This window comes from Homo sapiens, chromosome 11 (assembly GCF_000001405.40).
Source record: "Homo sapiens chromosome 11, GRCh38.p14 Primary Assembly".
Lineage (NCBI taxonomy): Eukaryota > Metazoa > Chordata > Mammalia > Primates > Hominidae > Homo > Homo sapiens.
In genome coordinates this window covers 120,768,492-120,791,934 of record NC_000011.10, presented here as the reverse complement: position 1 = coordinate 120,791,934, position 23,443 = coordinate 120,768,492, and the positions used below count along the sequence as shown (strand labels likewise).

The 23,443-nt window shown below is 45.9% G+C and overlaps 1 protein-coding gene across 22 annotated transcripts in view, besides 3 other annotated features; it reads right to left on the bottom strand.

Moving 5' to 3' along the window:
* GRIK4 (glutamate ionotropic receptor kainate type subunit 4) overlaps positions 1-23,443 on the bottom strand; it is a 477,159-nt gene that overhangs the window by 196,972 nt on the left and 256,744 nt on the right. The gene's annotated exons all lie outside the window — the stretch shown is intronic.
* Positions 14,600-15,381: an enhancer, noted in NCBI's record as "H3K4me1 hESC enhancer chr11:120647263-120648044 (GRCh37/hg19 assembly coordinates)". NCBI's record gives its function as "activates a minimal SCP1, AML or CMV promoter by ChIP-STARR-seq in primed H9 embryonic stem cells {active_cell/tissue: H9 hESC(primed)}" and the evidence as "EXISTENCE:reporter gene assay evidence [ECO:0000049][PMID:30033119]".
* Positions 15,382-16,163: an enhancer, noted in NCBI's record as "H3K4me1 hESC enhancer chr11:120646481-120647262 (GRCh37/hg19 assembly coordinates)". NCBI's record gives its function as "activates a minimal SCP1, AML or CMV promoter by ChIP-STARR-seq in primed H9 embryonic stem cells {active_cell/tissue: H9 hESC(primed)}" and the evidence as "EXISTENCE:reporter gene assay evidence [ECO:0000049][PMID:30033119]".
* Positions 19,907-20,471: an enhancer, noted in NCBI's record as "OCT4-NANOG hESC enhancer chr11:120642173-120642737 (GRCh37/hg19 assembly coordinates)". NCBI's record gives its function as "activates a minimal SCP1, AML or CMV promoter by ChIP-STARR-seq in naive H9 embryonic stem cells {active_cell/tissue: H9 hESC(naive)}" and the evidence as "EXISTENCE:reporter gene assay evidence [ECO:0000049][PMID:30033119]".

The following is a 23,443-nucleotide window of genomic DNA, read 5'->3' as shown; positions in this document are numbered from 1 at the left end:
GATTCTATGCCAACTTCTATTCCTTCCTTCATAATTACTACTTTGACCCGTGCATTTGTGGAAAACTGATTTTAACAAAGGTACAGTGGGGAAAAAAAGTCTTTACACAAACTGTGCTGGAACATTTGGATATCCATATGTTAAAGAAATCCCAATCCTTACTCATGCCATATGCAAAAATTAACAAAAAAAATGGACCATAGACATAACGGTAAAACCTAAAACTATAAAACTACTAGAAGAAAATCTTTGAGTTAGGCAAAGATTTCTTAGATATGACATCAAAAGCACAACCCATAAAATTAAACAATTGGTAAAGTAGACGTCATCAAAACTTAGAATGTATGCTCTTCAAAAGATTGGAATGAAAGACAAGCCATAGGTGGGGAGAAAATATTACATGCAAAGCACATGCTGGATAAAGGACTTGTATCCAGAATATGTAAAGAACTTTCAAAGCTCAGTAATAGGAAAACCAACAATCTAATTTTTAAAGTGGGCAAAAGATTCGAATAGACATTTCACCAAAGAAGTTGTACAGGTGGCAAGTAAGCACGTGAAAATATGTCCAACATTATTAGTCACTGGGGAAATGCAAATTAAAACCATAATGATATATTACTACACATCTATTAGAATGGCTAAAATTAAAAAGCTTGACCATACCAATTGCTGACATGGATATGGAAGAACCAGAACTCTCATATGCCCCAACCTCTTCCCTCGCTCCCCTTCCTCTTCCATGTAATGCTAGACACTATGTAAGTGTCCCCCAATTTTACACCCTGGATTTAGTCCACAAGCCACTCTTCATTGTGCAATTTCTCCCTTAAGAAACATTAATTTTTGACTATCAGCCCTATGCAGATAACTCCAAAACCCCTATCTCCACCCCCAATTTCTCATCTACACATCAGACTCCTTTTTCTGGCTACTAGTAAGAAATGTCCAAATGTCCAAATTCTGTGTCCCAAATGTAACCCATTATCTTTTTATTGAATTGGGGGCTCTTTCTGGCTTCCCAGTTTCACTTCATAGCACCAGTTGGTCTCATGCAAATCCCTGGCAGAGCTGCCTTGCATTCTCCCTATCCCTACAGCCCCTCCATCTGCTCACCCACTAAAGACTGCTGAGGGATCTGCCTCCCACCCACTGCCCCCCTTCTGTTCCCACTGCCGCCACTCCTTGCTTTCTTTTGCAATATGTCTACCCTGTCTTCTGCCTCCAGTCTCTCTTGCACCAACCTAGCTACTCTCCACTGCAGATGCACCTGCCTGGCCCTCAGGCCCTCCACAGTCTGGCCCCAACATGTCTTTGCAGACTCACCTTCTACTGAATTCTATGACCACTTAGCTACATCTAGATTGTCCTTGCTGAACACTGAATACAGCATGCTGCTTTGCCCTGTTTTTTTGTTCAGGTGGTCTCTTCCTGGAACGTACTCAGCTGTTTTTTAAAACCCATGTCCAAATCCTACCTAATAACCCTCATTCTCATACCCCATTCCCACCGTGCCCCAGGTAAGCACTGAACTGCTCCACCCCACACTTTCACCCTCCTCAAATCCTCCAAAGCACTTATTGTGTGCACCATTCATTTAGTACTTAATCGTTTGCTTTCTAATTGACATGGGTAAGGCATTCACTCATTCAATCATTCCTTTCTTTATTAATTCACCAAATACCTATTAAACACCTATCTTAAGCAAGGCACTATGTATGCAGAGAAGGATAAGATGTATCTCTGCTTTCAAAGTGTCCAGAGAAGGACATGGTCATACAAGCAAATAGCCACAACCTGATACGGTAAGTGATATGACAAAATCTTACGATGCTCCCACCATGAACCAGCTGTTCATGTGCTGGGAAATCACAGGTGACTAAGATGAGGTCATTTGACTCTGGAAGGCATCCTGGGGTCAGAGGACAGAGCCAGACTTTACTGTACAATGAAGTGGTTCCATAGAGAGAATCACAAAATTCTAAGGAAGCACAGATAAAGGGAAACCAAACTCCAGGTGGTGGGGCAAGTTTTAGGGAAGGCCTCATGCATTTATCTAACACCCATGTGTTAAGTTACTACTACCTGCCAGGCTTCACACAAGAGTCAGCCTTGAAGGAGGGGAGTGAGCTTCCCAGGGAAGCAAGGAAGCAAAGTGTGTTCCAGTGTGTGGTGACTGGCTCAGTCAGCGGGAGGGGCCTGAGCACCTGGCAGGGAAGGCAGATGGGAGGAAAAGAGCATGAAGAACCTGTGTGTCTCACTGGTGAACTGGGATGGAGGCCTGAAGGTCCAGAAGGTGCCGAGGGACAAGAGGAGGGCTTCCGACAGGCGATGACGTCATAAGATTTGCATTTTAGGGCGATCACTCCCATAGATACACTGGAGTGAGAACAGAAATACGAGTTGGGAAGATCAGCTTGAGGGTTATTTTAATAGTCCAGGAAAGAGAAATGAGACAGGTAGTGAGGGGCACGGAAAGAGGATCAAAGAGAAGAGGCAGATTCTAGTGAGATAAACCGGGCAGAATCAAAATCAGTGGGGGTTGGGATGAGGTAAGAGGGCTCTTGGCTTCACTGACAATTTAGATAGTGACATCAGTGACCAAGATAAAGAATACAGGGGGATAGAGAGGAAGATTGTTCTTTTTTTGTTTTTGGAGAAGGGCAAAGATAATGATTTTGGTGTAGTATTTATTAAGTTCGGGGCGCACTGTTTAGCAACAGAAAAAGTTACTGGTCTGGCTCTCCAGATAATGATCCAGGCTGGAGACACGGAGACCCGGGAGTCCCCAGGGTCAGGGTGATAATGACAACTTGGATCTGGCATAGGATGGTGAGTAACAGGAGAGGAAGAACCAGGCTAAAACTCTGAGGACTCAACATTTGGGACAGTGTAGGGAAAAAGACTGAGAAGCAATGGTTAGACCAGAGGATCTAAGGAGAACAGAAGTCAGATAAAACAAGGACTGAGCATTCTCCACAGGGCTGGGCAAGTAGGAGGTCACCGGGGACTTCAGCAAGAGCCCTTCCAGGGGAGAGGTTAGGCAGCATTTAGATGGCAGCAGGTGGAGGAGCGGCCGAGAAGTGAATGGAGAGAGCCAAGCAGCCGGTCTGGGAAGGGAGGGGGCATAATTAGGACAATCGGTGGGGGGAAGCACAACCTCCAAGGAAGGGTGTTTAAATTAAGATAAGAAGGGCTCAGAAGAGGAGCCAGTGGGAAGGGAAAGAGAAAGTCAGCAGAAAGGAGCGCTTTCTGAAGCAAGCCCTGCAAAAAGGCAGATGGAGGGAGCCTGGTGCACAGGTGCAGGCTCATCTGGGGTGAGAGAAGGGACGGCTCCCCCTTCTTGGGTGCCTTCTCCTTTTTTTCCTTTTACTCATATGACACCCTATGTTTGACACAGACGCATGGCCACCTAGCTCAGACCACACTTACCAGCCTCCCTGAACTCAGGAGGCCATGGGCTAAACCTGCACTAGCAAATGGAAGTAAAGTGACCAGACCATCCAGTTCATCTCCTTGCCCTGGATGTTCCTGGCCTTTTTGGCTGGTGGTAATGACACATACAAGAACATATAGAGATCACGTGCTGCTGACGGCAATGCCGCCCGCCACCCTCTATCCTTGGACCACTACTATTTACCTCCAGGTTTATGTGTGAGAGAAAAACACTTTGATCTTGGAGCTACTACATTTTCAGGTCCCTTTGTTTTTGTGGCTCAGCCTATATTCCCACTCAGAGCTGAGCCATAGAAATATAATGCAAGGCAGCCGGATGTGGTGGCTCACACCTGTAATCCCAGCACTTTGGGAGGCCGAGGTGGGCAGATCATGAGGTCAGGAGATTGAGACCATCCTGGCCAACATGGTGAAACCCCATCTCTACTAAAAATACAAAAAAAAAATTAGCTGGGCGTGGTGGTGTGCGCCTGCAGTCTCAGCTACTAGGGAGGCTGACGCAGGAGAATAGCTTGAACCTGGGAGGCGGAGGTTGCTGCTGTGAGCCGAGATCATGCCACTGCACTCCAGCCTGGCAACAGAGTGAGACTCCATCTCAAAAAAAAAAAAAAAAAAAAAAAAAAAAAGAAAAGAAAAGAAAAAAGAGAAGAAATATAATGCAAGGCACATATGTCATTTTAAATTTTCCAGTAGCCACATTTAAAAACATCCAAAGAGGCCAGGTGCGGTGGCTCACACCTGTAATCCCAGCACTTTGGGAGGCCAAGGCAGGTGGATCACGTGAGGCCAGGAGTTCCAAACCAGCCTGGCCAACATAGTGAAACCCCATCTCCACTAAAAATACAAAAATTAGCTGGGCGTGGTGGAGTGCTTGTAATCCCAGCTACCTGGGAGGCTGAGGCAGGAGAATCACTTGAACCCAGGAGGCAGAGGTTGCAGCGAGCCGAGATCGTGCCACTGCACTCCAGCCTGGGTGACACAGCCAGACTCTGTCTCAAAAAATAAAATAAAATAAAATAAAATAAATAAAATAAAATAAAATAAAATAAAATAACATCAAAAGAAATAGGTGAAATTAAAAAATTAATTTCAATATTTTCCTTAACCAAATTTCACAAACACTATGTTTTGTTTCTGTTTTTGTTTTTTTGAGACAGGGTCTCACTCTGCTGTCCAGGCTGGAGTGCAGTGGTGCGATCTTGGCTCACCGCAGCCTTGGCTTCCCGGGCTCAAGCGATCTTCCTGTCTCAGCCGTGAATAGCTGGGACCACATGTGAGCACCACCATGACTGGCTAATTTTCGTATTTTTTTTGTTGTTGTTAAAAAAAAAAAGAGTCCTACTATGTTGCCTACGCTGGTTTTGAACTCCTGGCCTCAAGCAATCCTCCCGCCTCGGCCTCCCAAAGTGCTGGGATGACAGGCGTGAGCCATTGTACCCAGTCAAATACTATGATTTTAATCTCTAGTCAATATAAAAATCATTTGTGTATTTCGTATTCTTGTTTTCATACCAGAACTTCAAAATCCAGTGTGCATTTTATATTTAAAGCACATCTCCACCCAGATGAGCCACGTTCCAGGGGCTCAATACTAATGGCTATAGCACTGCGTAATGCAGGTCTAACCGATGCTGACAGATACAGCTGTAAATAAATATTTGCTGTAGGTGGGGGGTGTTGAGAGAGGCTGAGCTGGATGGCATCTATTTTCTCGGAAAAGAGGAAAGGTCTCATCTTCATCTTCCACTAGCAAGACTGACAAAGATAAGGAAGGTGGCTTCAGGGGAGGGCTTGGAATAGCTGCTCTGATATGTACATGCATTTCTGTTTGGACCCAGTTGAAATGAAGAGATGTTGGTGTGTTTCTGAAAGCAGCCTCAGGGCACAGCCAGAAGCAAGGCAGGCAGATGTCACAACTAAGAGTAGGAGGTGATCAGGTGGGTGGGCAGGACTGGGGACAAATGAGTGAAGGTGCTATTGGGACCTGGCGAGGGTGATGGACTGGGCCTTTTCCACTGGACAGGAAAGGGAGTAACACCCAGAAAAAGCTGTCCAATGGGTTAGCCCCAGCAGAAAGGAAAGGCTGCATATTTGTGGAATATGTGGATACCAGGATACGCAGAAGAGCGGAGCAGGGGAATGCGATGGTGAGATTGGGTAAGATGCTGTTTTCAGACCATGGGATTTGGACATGTATGGTTTTAGAAGCAGAGGATCAAGGGCTGCCATGACTCAAGAATGCAGCTGTGATGGTGACATGGAGTGGGAGAGAAGGCCACCGGAAGGGAGGCGGCTGAGGATCCCCAAGGCCATGGCACCAGCGGGATGGCCCCGTGGACACTGATGATGATGGGGCCAGAGCAAGGCAGCAGTGAGAGGAAGGCTAGGAGCCCTACATGAGAACGGCAGGCACAAGGCAGGGGAGGACTTGGATCGGGAAAGAATGGGGGAAATGTTTGAAGGTTGCACTGGGGAGCAAGGGAAATGCAGCTGCCACTCTTGAGTAAGCAGTTGCTCTGGAGATGGGTTGGAAGGAAGCACTCTGACAGGGCAGGTGAAGTGTGATGGGCTTGGCAACCCCGCTGAGTGGGGGCTCTGTGTGTGCCAAAAGGGCCAGGAGGGCAGGTTAGCTGGGGATGAGCACAGAGCCACCAGGAGGATGCGCATGGAGACGCGGAGGCATGCACAGAATCAAGCTGCTCAGGCGCTGCAGAGAACCATTTCCCTGTGTCACGGGACTGCTGTGTAAACCGGAAACACCCCAAGTGCAGGAGCTGAGTCTCCTCTCATCCTGTAACCCCCATACAACTCAGCACAGAGCCAGGCAAATGTTAGGCACGTTAAGCACTTGACCCTGATATGAGCTAACTCTCGGACTTTCACAAGGTTCACCTTTTGGTCTATCCCTTCATCTTTCACACTCCCACAATTAGCTAAAGAACATGACCCCTGGAACAAAATGTATGAGTAAAGTCCCTGGCATCACCGACAATTCTATCTGCAGTTAGTGCCCTATGTATACGGCCACTTTGTAAGGTCTCTGGATACCTGATTGATATTCCCAGTTAGCCTCCTTAAACAGTTCCTTGCTCTCTGTGGACCGGCTCACCTCCCTGTAGGTTTTCTTTTGGGTAGGAAGATAGTCCCCATGTGTTCTCTTTTGAAAGCAGTCATGGAGAGCCCCCAGCTACATCTGGGCAAGCTCAGCCAGCCAGCACTGGCCAGCCCAGATGCACGACTGTGGCAGTTCAGTGCCCGGGATATCCAGTCTCATGGCTCACTGCACAAACAGCCAGGCTGGAGGAAAGGAACAGTGGGCTGGAGTTGCCCATTTGTCTTGTCTAATGGCCCGCCGGTGACAGCCTTCTGGACGACTTATGGGACAGAGTGGGAATGAAGGCAGAAGGGACGGGAGTGATGGGGGCTGCTGGGAGCCTTCATAGGTCTAGTGCAGACAAAGATGCCAGGCAAGGTCTGCCTGTTACCTCCAGGGGAGACCTAGCCCAGATCAGCTTCATTGTCCGGGATAATTCAATTTGACTTGCATTTACTGAGCGCCGACCTCACGCCAGGCACCAGTGGGGTAGATGCCGTTGAGAACACAAGACATGAAGACATGAAGTAGTTCTGTCCCCTGCTCTCAAAGACTCATGGATGAACTGGGGAGATGGTGGTGGGGCAGGGGAGGGAGGGTAGAGATCACAAGCTAGGTGCCTGGCAGACTCTGAAACTCAAGCTCAGCGGGGCAGCTGGAAGGTGCCATCTCAAGAATCCACTCACCCCTGGGCAAACATCACTCCATGCTGTCTTCTGACCCATCTGTCAATCTCCATCATGTTACATCCCTGATTCTAGACAGGGTGACCCTAAGCCATAGGACCACTGAGGGTCTTATCTCTACATTTTAGCCAAAGCTGTGAATAAATGAGCATCATGCCTGCTAGAGTCTACAACACAGGACCCTGTGGCCTCCGATCAAAACTGGCAAGTACCAAGGGAGCCAGAGGTCTGACCACACCAAGGAAAAAAGCAAGCAGGAGAAAATGACAGATTAGAATGGCTTTGAGTTCTTTGCAAGAATATGGGTAGAAAAATCTGGAGGGCCATTACTTCGATTGTTTCCACCTTGGAGTTATCTGTCTCTTTTCCCAGGAGATCAAAGCACAAGTAATGGGTCTTTTTATTCATTGTCATCATCCCCCAGGGAAGGAGCCAGTACAGGGAAGGGAGTATTTATCCAGGAGGACACGGGGGTTCCGAGTCCAAGCTAGGGCCCCACAATGGGGCAAGAGCAAAATATTCCTGTGATCATTCCTTCAAATAATATTCAGATAATCTCTCATCATTTGTCTGTTGCCCTTTTCCAAAGGTGAAAGGGAAGAGATATGTATTAATATCAAGTCACTGTTCTACATGCTGGGGAGTACCTCCTGGTGGAGGCCACATCTAGGATGTGGGTGTGAACCCTGCCTCGCTCCCTGTCCCCTCAGCCTCCCTGAGGCTGGGACCTCCGTAACACACTGCCTCCTTAGTCGTCTGCCGAAGTCTCAAACATACTTTAAAGCACTTCGCAAAACAAACACCTCTCAGGTCTGTCCTCCCTCAAAAACCCATATTATGCATCGTTTTTTTCCTGGACACTAACCCGCCTGTTTCCTTGAAACTAACCTGCTTTGGTATTCTTTTCTGGATAAACTCATGCTGTCTGCATGAATTTCCTCAAGAGCTGTTGCCTGAAAGAGATGCTTAGTTGACTGTTGTCAGAATATTCAAAATGCATAGAGGGACGAGGGGAAAGAAATATCACTTACCACAGGGGATAAAAAGCAGTCCTATTCCGATGCCATATGCCATGGAAGGAAAGAGCTAGTAAATTTCATTTAGTGGAGCCCACGCAATTACCCACTCTAAAAATTAAGAACCGAGACCATAAACCTACTAAACTTCAAATATTCATAATGGGCTGTTAAATGGGGGACAAAGGGAGAGGGAGCAGAGGGAGAAAGGAAGAAGAGGAAACAGACAAGAGGGAAGGGAACAGGGAAGGCGAGAAGGAAGGAAAGAGGAAGGCAGGAGAGAAGAGGAGGAAGGGAAGAAAGGGGGAGAACAGAAATACAGGATTAGCAAGACAGAGCAGGAGGCAGCGCCAAGCAGAAAATAGAGAAAGACAGAAGCAGAGTTTGATGCACGCACATTCTCAGAGGAACTCCTGTTCTCGTGGTCTTCCCACTCTGTGGCCAAAGAGATTTAAAGTCCTAACCGTAGGCACAGAGAGGGGAACAATCCTATTCTGCCGACTTGGAAATATTCAGCACTACTGACGTGGGGCTGGGTAATTCTCTGTGGGGGGGCTGCTGTCTGCATTGTAGGGAGTTCAGCAGCATCGCTAGGGCGACGGTTTGAATGTGTCTCTTTTCAAATTTCAGGGGTCCCCAATGTGAAGGTAGTAAGCAGTGGGGATTTTAAGAGGTAGTTAGGTCACCAGGGCTCCTCCCTCGTGAGTGTGATTAAGGCCCTTATAAAGAGGCCTCATGCACTCTTCGGAAGGCAGAAACTTGCCCTCCTGCCTTGTGAGGATGCAGTAGATGCCAGTAGCACCCTCCCCAGTTGTGACAACTAAGAATGCCTCCAGATACTGCCAAAAGTCCACTGGAGGAGGGAGAGGGGGAGAAATTGCCCCCAGCTTAGAACCACCGGCGTGGACCCTTTTCATGTCACAACTCAACTCTTGGTGTCCCTAGTTTCCCTCATTTCAGAGCCCTCCTGCTTCAGCACCCCCTACACATAGCCACGGGAGGAATCTCCACAGAAGGCACCCTTTGACGGGGCTGCTTCACTATTCAGAACAACCTCAGAGCATCCCAATGTCTGCTGAATAAAAAAGTCATACTGGCGGCCAGGCGCGGTGGCTCATGCCTGTAATCCCAGCACTTTGGGAGGCCAAGGCAGGCAGATCACAAGGTCAGGAGATCGAGACCATCCTGGCTAACACGGTGAAACCCCGTCTCTACTAAAAATACAAAAAATTAGTCAGGTATGGTGGTGGGCGCCTGTAGTCCCAGCTACTCAGGAGGCTGAGGCAGGAGAATGGCGTGAACCCGGGAGGCGGAGCTTGCAGTGAGCCGAGACTGAGCCACTGCATTCCAGCCTGGGCGACAGAGCGAGACTCCGTCTCAAAAAAAAAAAAAAAAAAGTCATACTGGCTACCTACTAGGTGCCAGGCTTGGTTCCAAGCATTGGAAATAGACTGACGGACAGGACAGAGAACCAGACTCGAGGACCTTATGCTCTAGCTGAGGAGGCAGACAGCACACATGTAAGGAAATAAATGCAGGATAATTTCAGGCAGCAAAAAAGTACTACAAAGAGAAAGAAAATAAGGAAGTATGAGAGAATGATGGGGGGTGGTCAGGGAAGGGATATTGCTAATGAAGCGCCACCTGAGCTGCGACCTGAATCAGGAGGAAGAAGCCATAGGAGAGAGAGGAAGAACATGCCAAGTTGGAGGAGAAAGGTAAGAGGGAGCTTGGCAGCCACTGGCGTTCAGCGGCTGGAGTGGAGCATGTGAGGGGAAGAATGCAGGGAGGCACAGGGAGCAGGGACACACAGGTTGTCACATGGCCTCAAGGGCCATGGTGAGAATCTGTCTTATTCCAGGTGTGATTAACAGTCACTGGAGGGTTCTAAACCTAGCCCAAAGTCCTGAACCTGATTCTAGGCTTCCAGAGACCACCCTCACGCACTGCCAGCTTCATCCGCTTGCATCCCTCTGCACCAACTTGAGTGCCCATCAGAGTCACCTAGAGGGCTTGTGAAGACACAGACAGGGCAGGGCACGGTGGCTCATGCCTGCAATCTCAGCACTTTGGGAGGCCAAGGTGGGAGGACTGCTTAAGCTCAAGAGTTCAAGAACAGCATGGACGATATAGTGAGACCCCTGTCTCTACAGAAAATACAAAAGTTAGCTGGGCATGGTGGCACTTGCCTGTGGTCCCAGCAACTCAGGAGGCTGAGGTGAGAGGATGGCTTGAGCCCAAGAAGTTGAGGCTGTAGTGAGCCAAGGTTGCAACTCTGCACTCTAGCCTGGGTGACAGAGTAAGAATTTATCTCTAAAAAATAAAAAATAATAATTTTTTTAAAACCCCACAAATTGCCAGACCCCATGCCCACAATTTTTGTTTCAGTCCCTCAATATAATTAGATCAATAAATCAATTACTTGTATAAATGACTAATACTGTGTCTTCTTTTCACCTCACACCCATTAGGATGACTATTACCAAAAAAACAAACACAAAAACAGAAAGCCAAGAAACAGAAACAAACAAACCAAAAAAAAAAAAAGAAAGAAAGGACATAAAAAGTGGAGAAATTGGAACCCTTGTGCTTTGCTGGTGGGAATGTAAAATGGTACAGCCACTATAAAAACGGATAATGTGGCCAGGTGCAGTGGCTCATGCCTGTAATCCCAGCACTTTGGGAGGCCGAGGCAGGCAGATCACGAGGTCAGGAGACCGAGACCATCCTGGCTAACATGGTGATACCCCGTCTCTACTAAAAATGCAAAAAAATTAGCCAGGCGTGGTGGCAGGCGCCTGTAGTCCCAGCTACTCAGGAGGCTGAGGCAGGAGAATGGTGTGAACCTGGGAGGCGGAGCTTGCAGTGAGCTGAGATCGTGCCACTGCACTCCAGCCTGGTCAACAGAGCCAGACTCTGTCTCAAAAAACAAAACAAAAAAAACAACAAACAAACAAACAAACAAAAAAAACCCCGGATAATGTAAGGCCTCAAAAAATTAGAAATAGAATTACCATATGATGTAGCAATACCACTTGTGGGTATATATCCAAAATAATAGAAAGCAGGGTCTCAAATTGATATTTGTACACCCATGTTCATAGCAACCTTATTCACAACAGCCAAAAGGTGAAAGCAACCCAAGTGTCCGGCCACAAATGAATGGATCAACAAAATACATACATACAACGGAATATGATTCAGCCTTACAAAGGAAGGAAATTCTGACACATACTACAAGGATGAACTTTGTAAACATTATGCTAAGTGAAATAAGCCAGACACAAAAAGACAAAGACTGTATGATTTCACTATGTGAGGTACCAAGGTTGTTGCCAGGGGCTGGGAGGAGAAGGAATGGAGAGTTATTGTTTAATAAACACAGAATTTCAGTTTTGCAAGACAAAAAGAATTCTGGAGATAGATAGTGGTGATGGTTGTACAGCAATGTGAATGTAGTTAACACTACTGACCTGTACACTAAAAATTGGTTAAAACAGTAGTTTTATGTGTATTTTACCAAAATTAAAAATAATTTTAAAATGCCCAAAGAGTTTACAAAGCACATTCACACATGTGTCTCATTTGTATCTCATGATAATCTAGGAGATTAGAGTAAAATAGTACTATTCCCACTTCACAGATGAGTATTCTGAAGTCCAGAAAAATTGCCTCCTCATTGTCTGGCACTTGAGAGCTGCCTAAGCCAATACAAAGGCATCCACAGGCTGCCCCAACTCAAGGTCACACAGCAGACATGTTGAGGAATTAAAGCTAAAATCCAGATCTCCTGCTCTACCAACGCTCTGTCTAGTGTATCACAATGCTTGTGGAATGTTCTATAAAGTAAATCACCTTTCATGTGCTAAGTGATGTAGAAATACTACCTGCCTAGCTAAGAGAAAGAAAACAGGCAAGGAGAGAGTGAGAAGCAATGATTTGATTTGAGGAAGATTCCTGCCTCATGATTTAGGTATAGAGGGAAAAACCAACATTTTCTGCCTTATATGGTGGGCATTATTATTATTATTATTACTTTGCAGATGATGATAAAGAAAATAGAGTCCTTAAATCACTTGACCAATTTCACCACGACTTTGAATCCAGGTCTATGTGACTTCTGGGTGCAGGCTCCCACTGCTGGAAATGTAGCCTCACCCTTGTTCCAGAATGGTGTGGTTGCTGACATGTGGCACCCAGGCCTTCTTGCCCCTGGCTAGCAGTCAACTGATTCCTTGCCCAATTCACCTTCTTCTTCCACCATGCCCCCAACCAGGGTACTTGCCCTTTAAAGGGGATGCCATCCTGAAATGCCCTTTCCTCTGAAGGGACCCACCCACCAGCTGCCCTTTCTCCAGCTCCTGACCGGCTCACTCTGCTTGGCCTCTCAGGGTAAGGACAGACATGATATGGAGGCTTCTCTCTTCACCTTCCTTCGCCCTGGCTCACAGAAGGCCTGCGGACTACCTTCTCCAAGAATGGTTGGTCGGTCCCCTGTCTGTCACAGGACTCACACCTCCATGTGACTTCTCAGAGGACAGGAAATCATGTCCAGTCAATCACATCTTTCTCGCAGTCCTGCCCCTCAATCATGAAGGAATGAACCCACAACTGAGGTCCTGGTGCACCTGTCCCACTAAGTCGGCGCTCACCTCCCCAGCTGACAGGAGAGCAGTCAAGGTGCTCTCAGAGCAGGGGCTGAACAGCAGGGGGCCTGAGATGTGGAGCCCCGCCGTGAGTCTGAGAAGTTCTGCACCCTCTGGACTCACAAAGGCACCTCACACCAGTTCTGAGTCAGCTCTTTCTCCCACCTGGCCTCCTTATTGTCTGGCACTTCAGAGCTGCCTGAGCCAAACAAAGGCATCCATAGGCTGCCCTGTTCTAAGAATGCAGAAAGAGCTGAGGCCCCACTGATATGAAGGAGGGGCTCATCGGCCCCTGTGTAATGAACTTGGCTGCAAATGTGACCTCAGCTCCCAATTCCCCATCAGAATTAGTCATTTGGTGGCCTTCATTTCTCAGCATCCAGAACTGGGTAATCTACCAAATGTTAGCCCACTCCATGAATCTGTTGGTAATGAGGTCAGCTTTTGCTTTATTTATTATTAGAGCTGGCAGACCCAAAGGGTAAATCAGTGTTTGAAAAAGCCGATTTTAAAACTTTATGTTTTAAATCAGGTGACACATTGCCAAATGCAGCCTAATAACCACATCATTAAATACAAACTAAAGTCTTTATTTAAATTTATTTTCATCTCACCTTGTCTATAAGGCATAGGGATATAAACGGAATGAGTCTTTAATCCACAAAACAAATTTATCTTCTCTCGTGTTTCTCCCCCAGTCAGCGTCCTAGTGCCTCTGGAAGTTTGTTAGAGTCCCGATCCTGTCTCTCAAAGACACTTTTCAACTCCTACACATCAAAAGCACATTCCTTATTCATCAGGCCTCTACCATGCTAAGCAGTGGGGACGTGAAATTGACATAATTGATGTATTCATGGTCCCTGCCTTCGAGGAACTTACAGACTTGTGTGGAAACAAAAGCAAATCATTATAACATGATAGGCATTGAATGTTGTTCCCAGATATCCTCCCAGTTCAATGCCTCACTTAGTACTGGTCTCCGGTCCTTGTCACCTGAGCGGCAAGGCCTTCCCTGAGTAAAGGGTAGGAAACAGCACCCCCACCTCATCCTTACCCTGCTCTACTTTATTTCGTCCTTTTTTTTTTTCTTTTTTTTTTTTGAGATGGAGTCTGGCTCTGTCACCCAGGCTGGAGTGCAGTGGTGCTACCTCAACTCATTGCAACCTTAACCTCCCAAGTTCAAGCTATTCTCCTGCCTCAGCCTCCCAAATAGCTGGGATTACAGATGCGTGCCATCATGCCCGGCTCCTTTTTGTATTTTTAGTAAGGACAGGGTTTCACCATGTTGGCCAGGCTGGTCTCGAACTTCTGACCTCAAGTGATCCACCCGCCTTGGCCTCCCAAAGTGCTGGGATTACAGGCGTGAGCCACCGCACCCAGCCCTATTCTGTCCTTTTGTCCATAGTGTATATCAACACCCAACACATTCCACATTTCTTGGCTTCTTTGTCTGTCTGTCAGCCCCCACTACAGCCGGGGCAGGGATTGTGTCTGTTTTGTTTACTGCTGTGCCCCCAGCCCCAACCCCGTGCCGGGCACACAGTGGGCACTCACTCAATACTTCCCAAGTAAGACATGAATGGCGGCTGGAGCGGAGGTACAATGTGACTATGGGGCACTGGGAGAGCCCCCATCTTTCTGGGAAGTTGCCCAGGAAGGTTTCACAAAGGAGGAGATGGGCTAAACCAAGTTGTAAGATAGAAATCTACTGGTTGGAGAAGGGAAATTGCAGGTCCATGGTCACAGAGAAATGACACCAAACTGTTTGTGTAGCTGGAATGGGGGTGACTGGAGAAAAGAGCAGAAAATGTGTTAGAGGTATTGGGGGGCTGTGAAGCACCTTGTAAGCCATTGAAAGGGACCTGGACTTTATCTCAAAGATAAACTTTGAAGAAACCCGCGTCGGTGTTTTTAGAATGGGAGGGAAGACTCGCAGGTGAAGTTTCTAGTTCCCTACATCACCCGAGCAGCACAGGTTCCTGCCAGGCCTTCGTCATAGCCAGCCCCCAAGGATGCCTGAGGACCTCTGCCTCCTGGTACTCACACCCCCCTCGTAGCTCCCTGAACACAATGGGGGTTGATTTGCCCAACAGCACATGGCAGAAATCATGGGATGTTGCTTCTGAAACTGCCACTTCTATGTAAGGGGACTCTTCTCTCTCTTGTCTCTTGCTCTGCGGAGAGCCGGCTGCCCTGCTGTGAAGAGGCCTATGGAGAGACCCACACCGCCAGGTGCTAAGGCCTCCAGCCAACAGGAACCAAGGAACCGAGAGGCCCGACAACACCTTGACTGAGCTTGGGAGTGGACTTTCCAGCCCCAGTCAAGCCTTGGGATGGCTGCAGCCTCAGCCCAACAGCTTGAGAGTGACCCTGCGCCAGAAACACTCGCTAAGCAGCTCCCACATTCCTGACCCTCAGAGACTGTGTGAGACAACAAATCGTTCTTGTTTTAAGCCAGCTAAGTCTTGGGATAACTTGTTACAAAGCAATACATTGTTCTTACAGCCTAATTCCCCTCTGAGAGCATCCAGTGATCTCCTGCCTTCAGGACAAAGACTGCAGCAGACATGGAGGGTGTCCCTTCTACAAAGGTTACTAATCAGAGATTCCCAATGAGGTCAGGCAAAAAAGAGGGGGAACTCCAACTCCTCCTCTCCAATGCCCAGCAGGTGGAAAGAATGCCTGGAACTCAGCTTCCCTCTGAGCGAGGGCAGACACAGCCCTTCCTCCGGCTCCTGGGGCTGGCAGCTCTCCCCACCTGGCACTCTGGTCCACGCGGTCCCAGAGGTGCGGTAGAGATGTGAGCACGCAGTCAGTTTTACTGCTTCCCTCCACTTAATTCATGAACTAATCAGAGGACATTGCAGCCACGTCTGCACAACAATAACAGAGAGCAGATGTTTCTGGGCAGGTTTATCTCTTATTGGCACAACACTGGGAGGCTGACCTTTCTCCGCCACATTTATTAAGTGTTATTAACACTTTTAAGAAGGTCGTAGGTACCCAGGTCCTTAGTCAAACTGAGAGATGCCTTCTCAGGGAAGGCTTCCCAATCAGCCACTGCAGGATGCAGCCTGCCAGGGGAGGCTCTAGGGGCAACCAGGTGGCAAAAGAGGGCTCAGCCTGACCCCAGTGGTAATAATAAAAGTATCTCACAAATACCCCAAGAGGTAGCACCGTGTGGTAAGGAAGCCCTGAGCTTGGCTCTCACAAACTCCAATTTCAGCTAGACCATTTAGTTTTTGCCCTTAGGCAAGTTATTTGATTGGTCTGAACCAAGAGTTCTCATCAGGATTGTCGGATTGTCATCAGGTTTAAATAAGAAACTGCAAAGAAAGTGCCGGCCACAGGCTCTGAATATGACGGGTATTAGTCAAGGTCTTCCTGCTAGGATAATTTGTAAAAATCTCATCGCTGCCCCATCCTAATCAGTACACTGTAAATTCTCTTTTTCTTTGTTCCATACACGTAGTAAGCATTTCCAAATAGTACCTGTCATTATGGTCATGTTTTATACTTTCCAAAACACTTTCAATATTCATGAACATGTTAGATCCTAAGATAGCCCTGTAAGGTCTGAGAGGTAGGGACTCTACCCAAGTCACATCAGTGATAAAGGGAAGAGTCGGGACCAGAACCCAGGCTGCCTGATTCCCTGTCCTCTTGCTGCCCAACCCAGCTGTGTCTCTCAGGTCCTTCCTCCTCCTCCCCGTCATCAGACATTTCACCACTTAGGGGGGCTCTCTTGTATGGCTTGTGTGCCATTTCATGTGTATGAGTCCAGATTCTTCAATGGAGGGCAGGTTCTTAACAGCCGGAGCTCTGGGCTTGCCAGCAGACCAGAGGCAGAAGAAATACAGAGGCCCAGGGTGTTTTCCAGGACAGTGGACAAGAAGGAGCCATGTTACAAGGCCCTCCTTAAACACCAACTCACATAAGTTAGAAGTGCTGAAAACATAAACTGCCCCTCTGGGATGCCAAGGGCAGAGGAGGGGAAGGGAAGGAAGGATTGCTGGGTGCCTCCACACATCTGACACCACACACACACACCTCTCTGTGCCTAGCCCCATCTTTATCTCGTCTCTCACCCCTGTGGTAGAGTGTCACTCATGCCGCATCAGTAGGCCCTCTGCTGTCATTTAGGTTTCTATTTGTTCATGCGTGTATTCACACACTCCCTCACACTCAGCTGGGCCCCCAAATGGTCCAGCAGCCTTGTCAACGGACTTAACCATTACCAGCTCAGAGTCCCCACTCCTCTCGGCTTCCCAGCCACCCTGATATCTTTCCCCTCCACAGATCACCCCACCTCCCTATTCACAGAGAGAATGCAGACTATAAGGACCTGGGTTAGGCTACAGTGCCTGAATGTTTGGCCAAACACCAGTCTAGATGAAGGTATTTTTTATATGATTAACATTTAAATCAGTAGACTTTGGGTGAAGCAGATGGCTCTCCATAATGTGACTGGGTCTTATCCAATCAGCTGAAGGACTTACTTAAGAGAAGAAAAAGACTGAGGTCCCCCCAAAAAGGGAATTCTGTCTCCAGACTTCTGCCTTTTGACCTGACCTGCAATCCTCCTTGGGTCTCCAGCCTGCTGGCCTGCCCTGCAGATTGAACTTGCCAGTCTCCATAACCATGTGAGCCAATTCCTTAATATCAGTCAGTCTCAATCTCTCTCTCCACACACACAAATACACACACACACAGAGCTGGTTCTGTTTCTCTAAAGAACCCTAATACACAGCTCTCTAACCCTAAAGCCACCTCCCTAGCACTCCCTTTCGCAAACTCCTACCAATTCTTCAGTATCTGCTCAAACATGACCTGGGGAGCCCTTCTCTGGCTCCTCCAGGCAGAGCTCTTTCTCCTAGACTCAGCATCCTTCCAGCATGAAAAAATGATTAGATGGTGCTGTGATCAGCTCTGTCTGGTGACGCAATTGGCTGTACCTTCTGAGGGTCTAATCCTGATGTTTGTAGCTTCTGCTGACTCATTTGCAGGGGTTGCTTTCCTCTTTGTTATTGAATTTTGGATTGCGAGCTCATTGTCAGTGGGGCTTTTTCTGTGGGAATCCTTTGTGGCCAAGGTAGATGGTTTGTTCACTTGAGGGTTTTGTTTTGCTTCTGTCAGAAACTTCAGGAGCATTACCAGCCTGTGACCACTTTCTATACAAATGTTTTAACTTGGTAATTCTTGGACCAGCAGAGGGTATAAGTTTAAACTTCAAACCCTTTGAGAGTAGTCTGTGGTTATAAAGTCCCAGGGGACAATTTTTTCTAACTCAGAGCCCAGTTTATCCCCTCTACCTATGAGTCAGCTGTTTTACAGTCCTCATTTCACCAAGGGCGTGGCCTTGAAAGCACTGCCTTTATGTGGGGTTCTCAATTCTAACTCTCGCCTAACACAGTTCCAAGGTTTTGCCTCCTATCTTTCCTTGAACAATAAAATCCAAATCCCTGGAATTTCCTGAGGAGCAACACCCCCACTTCCCCACTCCAGGCTGCCACTGCATCCATTCGCACGCTTACCACTTCAGCTTTCAGCTTTCTCTCCGTGTTTGGTCCCTGGTGGTTTTCCTGTTGCTCCTTCTTGCTCAGCTAGCTTCTCAAAAATGTTTGTTATTACATTTTATCCAGCATTTCCTGGTATTTTATAGAAGAGGAGTTTTCATATTATCTAGTCAACCACACTGTCGGAAATAGACATCTGCTGTATTTTAATTATTTGTCTGTGTATCTGTCTACTCCAGCTGGGCTAGACAAGCTTCTTGAGGCAGAACATTTGATGGGTACAAGGGTGGGCTTCAGACCACAGGCTGACTAGACACAAAGGCTGTCTCTGCTCCTTCTTAGCCATGTGGCCTTGTGCAGGTTACCTAATCTCTATGTCCCAGTTTGACCATCAAAAACAAGTGAAAATATCAACATCTACTGTTATGATGATTAAATAAAATATGGAAAAATTTCAAACAAAAACAGGCATATGATCAATCCTCAATAATACTGCTATTATTGTTGGAATAGTACTCAATCTCTAGATGCTCAACAAATATGCACTGAATTTATTATTGTCAACTTTATATCCTCATTGCCTAGCATAGTAATATTGGCCAATCACAGGATTCAATAAATATTTAATGAGTTGATGTGACTAGATGACTAGATGAATGAATGAATGAATGCACCAGCACTTGGACCCACTTTCCCTTCTGTCCCAGGGAAGAGGTATCCCTCCCCTGTGTAAGGCCAATCCTTCCAGCAGCATGCTAGATCCCATTCCTTCCCCTTTCTTCCCATGCCCTCTCTCCCAAAACTTCATCTTCCCTTCTCTCCTTCTCCCCACAATATAAAATGTTCTCATTTCTCCCATGTAACACACACACACGCGCGCACATACACCACCTGTTCTCACCTACCAGCCTAGTTCAAGCTTGCAGACCATCTCCTTTTTTGACCTCCTTAGCCTGAGTTGAAGGCACTAAGCCACTGTTTCCTGCCCTAATTCCCATCCTGGCTCTTAATCACTGCATGATAACAGAGGATGGGGAATATACAGTAGTTCTCCTCTTGTCATCCCCAATACTTACTTACTACAGAGCCTAGCATGCAGTAGGTGCTCAAGAAAATCTAATTTTTATTTGAGGATGCCAGGAGAAAATGCCATGCATGAAACAGGCCCTCACTAGACATCTAATATACTGGCTGTGTAATCTTGGACTTCCCCGCCTCTGGAATTCTGAGAAATATAATAAATTTATATTCTTTATATATTACTCATTCTAAGGTTTTTTTTGTTTTTTGTTTGTTTGTTTGTTTTTTAAATAGCAGTAGGAATGAACTAAGACAATAATCTTCTGACTCAAGGCTCTGGCCGCTAGACCTGTTAGGGCAGAGTTCCTGCCTTCTAGACACACTGGGGCAGAGGCTGAGCCCACAAGGCTCTGAGTGGTCCTGCCCCAAAGGCTTTGGGCAGTCCTGTCCTTTTGGCTTTTTTGGGTACAACCCACACTATAGCCCTCAGAGGTTGAAGTCACATGCTTGAAGCTCCTCTGGACTAGAATCACTGCCATTTCTACCAATCTGTGATCATGAGGGTAGTTCTACCCCTGTGGTTCTACTGGGCAATTGCCCAAGTGGGGGTTCTCCATGGTGATCTCACTCCTGCAGCAATTTTCTGCCTGAGCTCTATGGCTCTCAAGAGCATCCTTTGAAATCTAGGTGAAGGCAGCTATGCCCCCACATACCTGCACCCACTGGAGCCACACCTGGGGCAGCTATAGTGATGGAGATAAGTGCTGATGATCCCTGAAATGTCTTATGGGTCATTCTTCCATTGTCTTGTATAATAGGTCCTGGATTCCACTGAGATAGCATACCAATCTCCCTATCAAAGAGTTACCTGTTTACACCCTTAGTGTTCTCTCTCAACACACTTTCTCATTCTTTACAATACAGATAGACTGGGGATTTTCTAAATATTTAAATTCTCCTTTCCCTTTGATTGTAAGTTCTGTCTTGTTCCATTTCTTTCCTCTCGAATATCACTATAAGCACTCATAAGCCAAGCCACATCTTCAACACTTTGCTTAGAAATTTCCTCAGTCATATATCCAGTTTCATTGCTCACAAGTTAGACCTTCTATATTACAATATTAGAACACAAACACAATTCAGCCACATTCTTTGCCACTTTATAAGAAGGATGTCCTCTCCTCCACTCCTCCATTGTCCAATAACATATTCCTCATTTCTGCCTGAAATTTCATTGGGATGGCCTCTATCTTCCATATTTCTACCAACATTCAGTTCATGACCACTTAGCTAATCTCTACAAAGACTGAAGTTTTCTCTGTGGTTCTCCTCTTTTGAGCCCTCATCAGGATCACCCTTAACAGTCTGTTCTTGGCAATGTAAGTTTTTTCTAGTATGCATCTCAAAACTCTTCCAGCCTCTACCCATTACCCAGTTCCAAAGTTGACTCCACATTTTAGGTATTTGTTAGAGCAGCACCCTCACTTCTTGGTACCAATTTTCTGTTACAGTCCATTTGGGCTGCTATAACAAAATACCATAAACTAGGTGACTTATAAACAACAGAAATTCATTTCTCACAGTTATGGAGTGCTGGCAGATGCAGTGTCCAGTGAGGGCCTGCTTTCTGGTTCATAGGTAGCACATCCAGCTGTATAATCACATGGTAGAAAGAGCAAGGCAATTATCTGGGACTTGCTTTATAGGATACGAATCCCACCAGAAGGGCTCTACCTTCATGACCTAATCATGTCCCAAAGTCCTCACCTCCTAATACTAACACATTAGAGGTTAAGTATACATGAGTTTGGCAGGGGCGGGGCAGACACAAACATTGAGACCATGGCACTTCCCCAGAGTCAAAGTCTCTCACTGCATAAAATATAGAATTAGGCACAAAATACTTAAATGCATACATAGCATAAGAGAACAAATAAATGAAATTCATCCAAAAGAAAGTATACCTTGTCAGCCAGCCTCAAGTAGGACTGGCCAATGGCAGATCTTTGTTTATAAAGGATGGAGCAAGGTCAGAGAAGAGACAGGGCCTGATACAGTGATGGGACTGAGAAACAGTTTGCCACTAAAAGAGGTAACGTGTTTTTAGAAAGGATGGCTAGAGCCAGAAGCTTAACTTTGGGTGACTTCCCAGTTTTGCTGAGGGTCAGCCCTCATTAACTTTCACTATGTGGCATAAACAGATGCTGGGAGTTAAGGTAATTTTATCATGCCACCATCACCCAGGCAGCTCTGTGCTGTAGAATTTGGGAAGATTTTTGTGTGTATGTTTTGTATGCCATGCCTTGACTATATAGGAGGATCATTCAATTCCTTTGCTTCCCTATTGCACCCATGGGGACTGCAAAGCTAGTAAGTGTTTCAATGACTACTTACGGACTAACTGACTAATTGCAGAACTCCTCTGGGTCTAACAACAAAAGTGGGAGCAGGAAGGCCCTGCTAAAATGTATGGGTTTGGGTGTTACCTGGAAGTGAGGGAAATATTTCTCAGCCCATTGCCATTATTTTAAAGAATTAATTATATATTGGTTAAGCTGGGAGGGAGTCATGGCAGTTCCCAGATAGGGAGAAGTGTTGCCCAGAAACTGTTGGTGCAGGCTTTGTCCACCATGGAGCACCACACAGATGTTGTAAGCCTCACTGTCCACAGTCCCAGCTAAACTACACTTCTTGCAGACCCTCAAAAACACCAAGCTGTTAGTAGAGCATACTGAAGTTGACTTCCTATCCATTCCATGTCTCCTTCATTATACAACAGCAACATAATTTAGGGACTGAAACCACGCTCCAGGAATGAGCTCTTATTAGTGTAAGTCAGAGGTCAGCAAACTATGATCTGCTAAATCTAGCCTGCCACCTGTTTTTTGTTTGTATGTGTGTGCATGTCTTTGTTTGATGTGGTCTGCAAGTTAAGAATTGTCTTTACATTATTAATGTTTTGGGAAAAAGTCAAAAGAATATTTCATGACACATACAATTATATAAAATTAAAATATTAATATCACAAATAAAGTTTTATTGGAACACAGCCATGTTCATTCATTTATGTGTTGTCTATAGCTGCTTTTGTGCTATAATGGCAAAGTTTAAAAGTTGTAGTGGCCTCAGAAACAAAAGAATCATAGAGACTATTATGAACAATTTGAACAATTATTTTTCAACCTAGAGGCTGAACAACCGAGAGGAAATGAAAAAATTCCTAGAAAAATGTAACCTACCAAGATTGAATCAGGAAGAAACAGAAAGCTTGAACAGACCAATAGCAAATAAAGAAACTGAAGTAATTAAAAACCTTCCAATAAAGAAAACCCCAGGACCAGATGGCATCACAGCTGAATTCTACCAAACATTCAAGGAAGAATTACTACCAGGGCTTCTTAAACTCTTCCAAAAAATACAGCTAGAGGGAATACGTCCAAATACATTTTACAAGACCATCCTTTTGATACTTAAGCCAGATAAAGACACTGCAAGAAAAGAAAACTACAGGCCAATATCTCTAATTAACATTAATATAAAAATCCTCAATAAAATATAATCAAACTGAATTTAACAACTCATTAATCAGATTATATATCATGACCAAGTTGGATTTATGCCTGGCATGCAAGGCTGGTTTAACATATGCAATTCAATCAGCATGACACATCACATTAATAGAATGAAAGATAAAAGCCACACAATCATCTCAACTGGTGCAGAAAAACATTTAACAAAGTTCAGCATCCCTTCTTGATAAAACCTCTTAACAGTTTAGGTATAGAAGAAAAATTCCTCAATACAATAAAGGCTATGTATTAAAAACCCATAGCTAAACTCATAATCAATGGGGAACAACTGAAAGCTTTTCTACTAAGATCTGGTACAAGGCAGGAATGCCCATGTAACTTCTATTCAGTATAGTATGAAAAGTACTAGTGCTAGCCAGAGCAATCAGATAAGAAAAAATAAAAATAAAAAGGCATCCAAATTCAAATGATCTTTACTT